General features: G+C 34.8%; 1 long non-coding RNA gene across 1 annotated transcript; it reads left to right on the top strand.

The window, feature by feature from the left end:
• Nucleotides 1-1635: 1635 nt before the first annotated feature.
• Nucleotides 1636-11078, top strand: LOC107986745 (uncharacterized). Its single transcript, XR_001745027.1, has 3 exons — nucleotides 1636-1737; nucleotides 1843-1973; nucleotides 10936-11078. It is a non-coding gene; the product is annotated as an uncharacterized LOC107986745 (long non-coding RNA).
• The last annotated feature ends 447 nt before the right edge of the window (nucleotides 11079-11525 follow it).

The following is an 11525-nucleotide window of genomic DNA, read 5'->3' as shown; positions in this document are numbered from 1 at the left end:
TCCAAAAGTAATTGTCATTTTTCCATTATTTTTAATGGCAAAGACTGCAATTACTTTTGGACCAATCTAATATATAACAAACTTGCATGTGTACTCCTGAAATAAAAATAAAAGTTGAAAAACAAATAAACAAAATTATTGAAAATTTATTATAAGTAGAAGGTAGGTGGCAACTTAAACCAGCTGCTAGTAGAAAACCTAGCTCCTGCTATGATGAGTTTTAGTGAGGAGCAGTTGGTTCTAAATGATAGTTTGAAAACCTAAGAGCATTGGCCTCTCCAACTACAGGTCAAAAAAATACAAGAATAATTTGTTAAAGATCAAGGAAATAGAAAATCTTGATACATTTTCTCACACAACTACTTCTTCTTAAATTCATTCTAAAGTAAATTAAAATACATGTTGGAATTTATTGTTGTCCTTTCCTCTTATGCTCTGGCTTGGGAAGGACAACTTAAGGTTGAGAATGATGCCCTCTATAGCATGATAAGCTAGAGACTTAGTTACAAGTGAACACTTTGTGTGATCCTTTTCCTCACTTGTCACTCCACTAAATAATCTTTTTATCTCTTTTTCCACTAGAAAAGTGGGTCTCAATGTGTTTTCTGTGGACCCCTTGGGAACCCCAAGTCCATTCAGTGGATTCATAAGGTCAAAAATATATTAATAATACTAATGCATCATTTGCCTTTTCACCTTCATTCATACATAGGTGTACAGTGGAGTTTTTTAGAGGCACCCTTCTCTGTGCAATGTGACAGAAGATGACAGGAGAATCTTGCTCTTTTTTACTGCCAGATATTATAGAAAGTTGCTAAAATGTAAAATAATGCCACTCAAACTGAATTCTGACAACAACCTGAATTAGTTTGGGAATGGATTTGTCACTAGATCCTCCATGAAAGAATAGTCTTGCCCACAACTTGATGTGTTCCTTTTGCAATGCAGAACAGAGAAGCAGCCAAGCTGCATGGTGCCTAGACTTCTGGCCCAGTGAAATTGAGAGATAATAAATGGATATTGCTTGATGTGAACAACAAATTTACAAATGTTTGGTATTCTACTCTGGTGACAACAAGAAATTAATATAGGAGATAACTAATCCCATGGTTTTGATTTTTAAAGGAATGTGCATTCAACAAATATTTGCCAAAGAATACTAGTGAGACGTGTGGAAGTTAAGCATTTTCTAGTACTCTAGGTATATAAGATAACATATTTTTTCATATATAATGTGTATACAGATTAGTATTTTGTAACTACATGTTATGACACTGGAAATGGAAAGATGACACTCCTTTCCTTTGAAACGATAAAATAGGTTTTAATATTACTTATATTAAAAGCACTGTGAGTAATGTTTCTATTGACTTAATAAATAGTCTTATCAGTGACAGGGCTGGACATATTATTTAAACCCGACAAGTGTCTGATAATGGCACTCATCTCTGTAATTTCTCCAGGAATACAGTATTATTTTTGGTTTACTATTTTCCTAGGTACAGCAATTTTAGTGGCTTCCACTTGGAGTTTCTCACCTTAATAGCCCATACTTTGCAGATCAGCAAACAAATATGGTGATTCTTCCAGTTACTGAGTATGTATATTCCTAATATCCATTTCAGAACTGAAAAATTACTAGAGGATGTATCTACAGACTCACTGGACCCACTGTGAGACAGACCTATGCTAAAACTCCTTTGATCACTGGTCCTCCACAAGCCCCTAGTAAGACTGGTGAGTGGACCATAGTAATGTTTTGGGTCTTCTAAAATTAGTGTTAATCTGAGCCAGTGTCCAATAATACACCAAAAGGCTGATTATTTTCTTTTCCCAATGCAGAGTCATCCTAGTAAAAGTCTACAGGTTCCTTGGCAGAAAACCGATGAAAGAGTAACAGTATGGATTTTTGGCAGTGTATCCAGGTTTTTCTTCAAGGTGACCTGACTGCCCCTTCATTCAAAGAGTTTCAGGTCTGTAAACTGACTCAAGTCTGGGAATTGATCAAGAAGCTGTAACTATGTTTTCATAAGTGAAATTAGACTTCTATTTACTTGACCTAGGACTATTTTATCTATAAAGATCGAGTGAGAATTTAACAGAATGCTCATCTATTTCACTTACAGGGACAGGCTATTCTGATCTGCTTTGACTCTGCTGTTCTTTACAGTAAGCACAATCACTTCCTTTTGCAATTAAGTGACACCACTTGGACTCTGCCACCATGGGATCTGATTATCCCCATTGCACTTAATACTTCCAGTTCAGGGCAGCAGATTCCAGTACAATTTCTGACCTACAGAGAAGAATGACCACAGAGTTCTCCATGGATACCGGGGCTGCCCTTACAAATCTGTTCCTCAAAGTTTTAGTGTAAGTTGTGTCCTCTTGACACTCCCAGGGTGAGTGAGCTACTCATATCAGAATCCCAGCTGCCTTCTTTTTAGAAATTGGCAGGTTGATTCTAAAATTCACATGGAATTGCAAGGGACCCAGAAGAGCCAAATAATTATGAAAAGGAGATGTGAAGTTGTAAGACTCACACTTCCTAATTTCAAAGCTTACTACAAAGCTACAGTAATCAGTGTGATACTGGCCTAAGACTAGACATATAGAACAATGAAATCTGTTTTAGAGTCTAGAAATAAACAACTACACTAACGGTCAATTGATTTTCAACAACAGTGCCAAGAAAATTCAATGGGGAAAAATAGTCTTTTCAAAATATGGAATTGGGACATTGGACATCCACATGTAAAACAATTGGTTGAATGCCTTCATCATACCATACACAAAACTATCTCAACATGAATCATAGACTGAAATGTAAGCATTAAACTGTAAAACTCTTAAATAAAAATGTAGGAATAAATTTTCGAGACTTTGGATTAGGCAAAGCCTGCTTACATAAGACATTAAAAGCACAAGGGATAAAAAATAATAGAAGGTATTTTCTCAAAATTTTAAAAAATTGTACTTCAAGTGATCTTACCAAGAAAGTGGAAAGAAAACCAGAGAATGGTAGAAAATACTCACAAATTATATATCTGATATGGGACTTGTATTCAAAATTTTAAAAAAGCCCTCACATAGCACAATAACCAAAAGACAAAAACCAAATTTAAAAATGAAGAAAGGATACATTTAGACATTTCTCCAAAAAAGATAAATAAATGGCCATTAAGCACATGAAAATATGCTCGACACGATTGGCCATCAGTTATCAGGAAAACACACACACAGAAAAAAAGATGAGATACTACTTAAAACCCACTATGATGGCTATAAGCAAAAAGACATACGATAGCAAGTCTTGAGGGTATGGAGAAATGGGAACACTTGTACATTGCCTCTGAGAATGTAAAAGGGTACAGCTGCTGTGAATAACAATCTGGCAGTTATTCAAAATGTTATACATAGAGTTTCCCTATGACTCACCAATTCCCTTTCTAGGTATATACCTAAGAGAAATAAAACAGGTGTCCACACAAAAACTTTGACATGAATATTTATATTAATAGTAGCATTACTCATAATAGCCAAAAAGTGAAAACAATGCAAGTGTCCACCAACTGATGACTGAATAAATAACATGCAATATTCCATACAATGGAATATTATTCAGCAAGATAAAAGAGTAAAGCACTAAAGCATGTTATAATATAGAAGAGCCCTGAAAGCATTATGCTTAGTGAAATAAATCACTCACAAAATACCATATATTGTATGACCGCATTTATATGAAATGTCTAGAATAGGCAAATCTATAGAAACAGAAAATACAGCAGCCTAGGGCTGAGATGGTTGAGAGGAAATGGAGACTCTGTTAATGCACGTCAAGTTTCTTTTAGGAGTAATGAATTGTTCTAAAATTGATTGTGGTGATGATTGCACAACTCTGTGAATATACTAAAATCTGAGGAATTTTACAATTTAAATGAGTGAATTGTATTGTTTAAATGACTAAATTATATTTTAATTAAAAAGCGAAAGATGAAATATACACACACACACACACCCAGGAAGGGACACTATTTCATTAAAAAAAAAAATTGTACATCAAAGCACGTACAAGTGCCTGGTAGAGACTGACATATAGCTCCTGAATGATTCATTAAATGTGGCTAGAATTTGAGAATACCTTATTTCAAGGTTTTTCTTCTGAACATACACATATATGAGCATACTTTATAGCTGAACATGCGAAATGCTACAATAATGCATCATGATTGTGAAAGACATTACCATATGCATAAATAAAATTATATGTTTCAAAGAGATAAGAAACCATACAAATTTAAAAGACAAAATACATTAGCTTGGCCACAGAAATTTTAAGAAAAGTATATCCTTTTAATAATATAAACATATAATTTATATTATATAAAATATAAATTATAATATATAAATATACAATTATATATTAAATTATATCATTTATTTATTACCATTAAAAAGGATTTTATATATAGAGAGAGAGACAGAGAGCGGGAGAGAGAGAGAGAGAGAAAGAGAGAGAGACTCCCTTAGGGACCCGCCCTGCCACCCAGGCTGGATTGCCACAATAGTGCAATCATAGCTATTGCTGCCTTGAATTCCTGGCCTCAAGCAATCCTCCTAACTTAGGATCCTGAATAGTTAGGATTACAGACATATACCGACATATGCCACGGCACCCGGGTAGATTTTTCTTTTTCTTTTTATTTTATTTTATTTATTTATTTATTTATTTATTTATTTATTTATTTATTTATCTGAGACGGAGTCTCACTCTGTCGCCCAGGCTGGAGTGCAGTGGCGCCATCTCGGCTCACTGCAAGCTCCGCCTCCTGGGTTCATGTCATTCTCCTGCCTCAGCCTCCCAAGTAGCTGGGGCTACAGGCATCCGCCACCACACCCGGCTAATTTTTTGTATTTTTTTTTTTTTAGTAGAGACAGGGTTTCACCATGTTAGCCAGGATGGTCTTGATCTCCTGACCTCGTGATCCACCCGCCTTTGCCTCCCAAAGTGCTGGGATTACAGGTGTGAGCCATCGCGCCTGGCCTGGGGGGAGATTTTTATAATAACATAAATAATATTAAAACAAAACTGTAAAAATGAACTATCTAGTACTTTTAATCTTTGTAGAATTGTTTTGAATTCTAAAATTTATAACATTACACAGTATTTAATTTTCTTTAAGTCTTAATATTTTGTTATTTCACTTCATTTAGGCCATGATCATTGCAAGGAAAAAAAAACACCTTTAAAACTATCTGGTAATTATATCCCTAATGATAAATTAGAAGAAAAATATCAACATAAACATAAAAATCCAGTAGGAGGAAAAATTCTAAAGTGATATACATAAAATTGTTGACAAGTCAACTTGGTTTGCAACAGGATTAATAATACAATGTTTAAAGGAATGAAAAAAATGCAAGAACAAAGTACGTACCCACAACATTTTTGTTCTTTCTTATCGAAGTTCAGAATCGTGTACTTGCGAGAATAATTCAAGTGGAAAATTTCTCATAATTTTCTGTCTATGGAGGCTAACATTTTTCTCAACTTTTATTTTAGGTTCAAGGGGTACATGTGCAGGTTTGTTACAAGGGTAAATTGTGTGTCACAGGGGTCTGGGGTACAAATGACCCATCACTTAGGTAGTGAGCATAGTACCCAGTGGGTGATCCCTTCCCATCTTCCCCCCGTCTAGTAGTCCACAGTGCCTATTGTTTCCATCTTTATGTCCATGTGTACTCATTGTTTAGCTCCCCCTTATAAGTTAGAACATGCATTATTTGGTTTTCTGCTCCTGCATTAATTCGCTTAGGAGAGGCTAACATTTTCTATAAATAAAAAACTGTTCAAAATGAATGCTATACTTTGCCAATCATTTTCAAATTTCATAATGTATTCTTGAGATTTTTCTCAAGCTTGAGTCTTTGGTTTAAAAATTCCTTCTGGAAGACATGTTACTGAAAAACATTTCCCTGTATTATATTCCACAGAGCACAAAAAAATCATCTGTTCTATTAAATGTGCTGTTGGAAAGTGATGTATTTCATATTTTTAGTATTATTATATAACTAAGGGACATTACAGCAGTTAACATTTTTGAAAAGTTTTTGCTCCTGCAGTAAAGTGTAAAACTTTAAATATACATGTAATTCTATATATTTCAAAATAAAATTGAATAATAATTTTGTTTCGTTTTATATAAAATCAGCATTTTTTTCTTATATACCAGAAACTTATTCTATATATTGATATTTTTAATTCTCACTTTCATCCAAATTTGATTTTAAGTAATTTAACCATTTAGCATTGGGCAAACTGTGTATTTAGTGTCCCTCATAGTATCTTTCAATTAACAAAGTATCAGATAACCACAAACATGCTATTTTTGTAAGTAATCAGACTTTAATAGAAAATCCAAGAACCAGAGTGTAACATTTTCCATGTTAATCAGAATTGGATCAATTTTTTTTAATGGAATTATCATCAGTTTTAAACCACTGAAAAATTAACAGTTTCACAGTGTGGAACGTGACTAATAAAAAAGTACAGATATTGGAACAGTTAATATGAAGGAATCACATATGCGTATGTAAAAATATATTATGAGAAAAAAGTGTACTGAGACTTAACTACAACAAAGAGAGTTTGAAAAGTCATATGGAAGAAGTTTTTGATATATTATACCTTAAAACCTTTACCAAAGAAGATGGTGAAGTCTCCTTTTGGAGACATAAATGAAGCGTGGATCAAATTTTATCTTTCAAACTTAAAACGCATGTAACGTCAGGAACCCGAACAGATGACCTTTCTGTTCTGTGATTCCATTATTTAAAAGGTTGTGGAATTTCAGCTTTTCAATTGCTTTCTGGTGCTTGTCTCTTGCTAAGTCCCATAGGTATAGTTTCCTTCCAGGCACCAGCCCACTTAAAGCAAGGCAGTCATGACAGTTGCCAACTCATCAAAAGCAAGTCTAGTCCAGCATTAACCTAATTATATGCTGCAACCACTTTCTTATACATCGGGGGTAACTCTTTGGCTTCCAGCCAGCATCTCTGGGATTTGATTTTCGAGTGATGTTACCAGTTACTTTAAAATGTTTACCTCCTAAATGCTGGAGATGGAATCTCATCATCACAAAGGAGAAAATTTACAATTGGATTAAAAGCCTCTGCTCATGCTAACCAGCATGGCTCTGCCAGTAGCCAGAGCCCTGATCTCTGCTTTCTCTGGACTCATATTTTCTGAGTAATGATGCAGTATTTGGTCCATTATGATTCATTCTGAGATGATGAAGTCATTACGTGCCTTGCTTTTTCTTTCACAGAACATTGGTAAGCATATTTTTAAGGAAAATTTTATACACATCTTTGAAATTTCTGGCAAGGAAATTAGGCAGACATCTGGAAAAGAAGCAACGTTGCTTATCCCCATCCAAAATGTATTTTTACTTCATGTCTGTATTTTTTTTCAAAGACAATATACAAGTTCCTCTTAGCCATGGGCCTCTCCTGAGCAAAAGTATCTGTGTATTCTGTGGGTTACCTTCTGTATCTTAGAAAAAGAAGTCTATGTTTCTATTCCATCCCAGCATTCATGGGGCTACAATGTGGTGTAGAGCTGTCACATGTATTAAATCAACAGCATTTACTGTTGGCAGGAAAATATAATCTGCACCCAATAAGTAGAAACACAAATATAGCCTCACAAGGAAGTTAGTCAATAAGTGCATTTATTCTACATCTGTTGCTGCTGAATTTGGCTACAGTTTTTCCTTATAGTGGTTTGTATGCTGTGCCTTCTGATATGTTCTGTTTGATAGAGGCTTTAATGGGGTGGATTTCCTGAGCTGATATAAGACTCTTTTCCACACTCACTGAGTGGCTGCATTGATGGATCTTAACAGCACCTTCGAAAATGCTGGTGGAAATCTTTTCTTAGTTGAGGTTTTTTAGATATTGGCTATATAACTAAATAAGAAGTTCCATATTTCAAAGTAGTGTGTTTGGAAAGGTGCCCAGAGTAAAGAAAACATTAATAGGCACAAAAAGCTAGCATATGGATGCTATAAGAAGTATAATGGAAAATGTCCAAATAAAGTAGTGGAACCTTCCAGTAAAAGGGTGTGAGGGGCAGTAAGGAAAATATGTTCCCTCTTATGTTTCTGCCAAAATGTAAGGACAATACAACCTACAGAGTAAGTTCAGCAGATGCTGGAGACTGAGGAAAAAGAACATTAGTTGTAGCCAGCTTAGTTTAAAATGACAAAATACTATTTATATCTGAACTCAACATAATTATTGTCTATGTTATTTGACCTCAGGGTCTATTAAGCCTACCTTAAATTAATATAATTAGATAGGACTAAATCCTTCACACAAAAATAATGAAACACTAAAAGGTATCTCCCATAATGTCCAATCTAAAAAACAAAGATCTATAATATTTTCTGAACTCAAGGGATTGGTATTTGTTTTTAAGTTCATATTATGCTAGGCATATACATGAGGAATAAGGTATAATTGCTTCCTTTAAGAAGTTAAAAAGCTAGTTACAAATAGTAGCTGGCTACATTTTCTTTGTTTGCTCCAGAGCAATCATGTTAAGGCTTTTTCATTATGAAGGTCTTTTGTTCCCAAATTCTACAAAACACCTCCTACTTGGAGTCCTGAATATGCATGTTGAATTAATTACTTTATGTGGATGCCCATACCTTTAAGGTTAGGGTTGTAGATATGCTTTAAATGTGACCCCTCAAGTTCATGTGTTGGAAACTTAACTCTTGATGCAACAGTGTTGGGAGGTGGCACCTTTAAGAGGTGTGAGGTTATGAGAGTAGAGCCCTCATGAATGGATTAATGTCATTATCAGAGGAGTAGGTTAGTTATCGTGTGAGTAGGTTTGTTGTAAAAGCAAATTCAGCCCCCTCTTGCTCACTTGTGCATTTTCTCACCATGTGATGCCTTTTGCCATGTTATGGCACAGCAAGAAGGCCTTCAGCAAATGTGATCCCCTTGTTCTTGGACTTTACAGCCTCCAGAGTTTCTATTGTTTATAAATTACCCAGTCTGTGGTGTTCTGTTATGACAACACAAAACACACTTAAACAGTTGTTATGTGTTTTATAAGATTTAAAGACCTTTTTGATGGAGAGCCATAACACGGTAATACTTGAATAGATGAAAGGCAGAACTTTTCTGTTACTTACAGCTCCAAATGAGAGAAGGCTGCCAGGCAGACCCACTTTGGGAGTTGCACTTTGGATAGAGTAACAGTAAACTAAAACTATAAAAGGCAGTTTACGTATGGCAAGCAGAGTTAGCTAGGTTTCTCTGTTCCCTGTGGATCGACTAAGTTGAATAATTTTGTGAGATCTGGGACATAGGGGCTGTCTCTCATTGTCTGGTATCTGACTAAAGTGTGTGAACCTGGTAAGGAAAACGGATAGGAGTAAGGACTTATTCAGCTGCTCAAGAAGGGAACTGGCTGACTTCTAGTTGGGATCTCCAAACTAGGTCAGGATAGTGTAATTTTTAAAAAAACTTATATAATGTAATACAGATACAAATGGCAAAAAGGCATACATTTTACTCTTGAACTGATCTCTCTCCTTCACTTCCAGCACCATTTTCATACCATAGACTTGTGAATAGTTGTTCTTAGAGTGTCCTATACTCTGGAGTTGGATAATTACTACATAATTTTATCATTGAGTATCTTTCTGCATCTTTATATTATCTATATACAGGTCGTATACACAGAGCAGGATTTTACATCATTATCCCACCTGATGACCTCTGTTTTCTACCTGTCAAATTTGGCCTATTTATTAGGTTGGTGCAAAAGTAATTGCGCATTTTGCCATAAAAGTATGGCAAACATTGCAATTACTTTTGCACCAACCCAATATTAGGGATAATAGGATAATGATGTAAAATCCTGTTCTATGCATACTACATCACAATTACTTTTTCACCAACCTAATACAGTGATTATAACAACTGACACAAAGGATTCATTTCTACCATTTTTATTTTGCATTTTGAATGTGTCTTTTCTTAAGTTTCAAATTTTTTATATTTTACTTTTTTGGCATGACTGCCTTTTTTCTTTTTCATCTTTTCCCTTTGAATAAAAATATTTGGAAATTGTATCACTTATGTATATATTTAACTTTTTTCTAAAGTTATTCAGTGTCTTCATCCCCTACCAAACAATACAAGGTCCTTAGATTTTTTCAATTTTGATTTCTCCTACTATTTATCTGTTTTTCCTTATCTCTATAAATTAGACTATACTATTATTTTATATAGACAATACACATTTTAATTTACTTGTTTCTTAGTTCGTTATTCTTTCTTGTAACTGTTCTCCTTCTCTGGTCATTTCCCATTTTTAAAAAACATACCTTACAGAAATTTCTTATTGCAGATATATTGATGTAAACATTCATTCAAAAACGTCTTTACTCATCTTAGTTTCAGTTCACTCTTTTTTTTGTTTGTTTTTGAGGTGGAGTCTTGCTGTGTTGCCCAGGCTAGAGTGCAGTGGCACTATCTTGGCTCACAGCAACCTCTGCCTCCTGAGTTCAAGCGATTCTCCTGCCTCAGCCTCCTGAGTAGCTGGGGTTACAGGCACGCACCACCATGCCTAGCTAATTTTTGTATTTTTAGTAGAGACAGGGTTTCACTATATTGGTCAGGTTGGTCTTGAACTCCTGACCTCATGATCTGCCTGCTTGGTCTCCCAAAGTGCTGGGATTTCAGGCGTGAGTCAGCACACCCAGCCTTCAGCTCACTTTTTTTTATTGTTGCTTTTGTTGATCGTTTTGTTTTGTTTGCCCCTGAAGATTTCCTTAACTTTCTTATACCCCGTTAATGAATTCAAAGTATGTGAATTGTCATTGATTTAAGATCTCATTGTTTTATTTCCAGAGGGCTCTTCAAATATCCTGACCACGTGTTGCAGAGGAATGGATACTGCAGAGGGTTTTGACTTGAATGCCTGGTATAGGAAGTGGGAAATAAAGATATACAGACCTAAGAAAAGCATGTTTACACAAGAGACCGAGAGCAAATCAAGGACTAACTTGCCTTATAAGAGATGAAATGAGATGGGAATTAGGAGGAACACTGTTCTGAAAATTGTTGTAATATAATAAGATGTTTGATTCATGGTCATAGATATCAACACATCAAGACTTACTGTCAGTATCACTTGGCTGAATATCAAGTTAGTATATTACAACATTTTCAACACAAATCAAATTATATAATTTCTTTCAATGTAAGTCTACAACTAGTTGCTTTCTTAATAATAATATCTTTAACTTTTAAAACTTGTACTTAGAAAATACACATATGATTATGACTTACTAAAGAAATACCAGACTTCTAGCCCTTTAAAAATACAGAGCATGTATGTTTGTGTGTATGTTTAAACTGCCCTTTCCATCTGGCTTAGACTCTTTTCTCCAGATCTGTAACATCTGGCCATCAACTTTGACCCTGAGATGGGATCTAAA

This window comes from Homo sapiens, chromosome 7, assembly GCF_000001405.40.
Source record: "Homo sapiens chromosome 7, GRCh38.p14 Primary Assembly".
Classification (NCBI taxonomy): Eukaryota; Metazoa; Chordata; class Mammalia; order Primates; family Hominidae; genus Homo; species Homo sapiens.
This window is presented reverse-complemented; position numbering and strand designations above follow the sequence as displayed.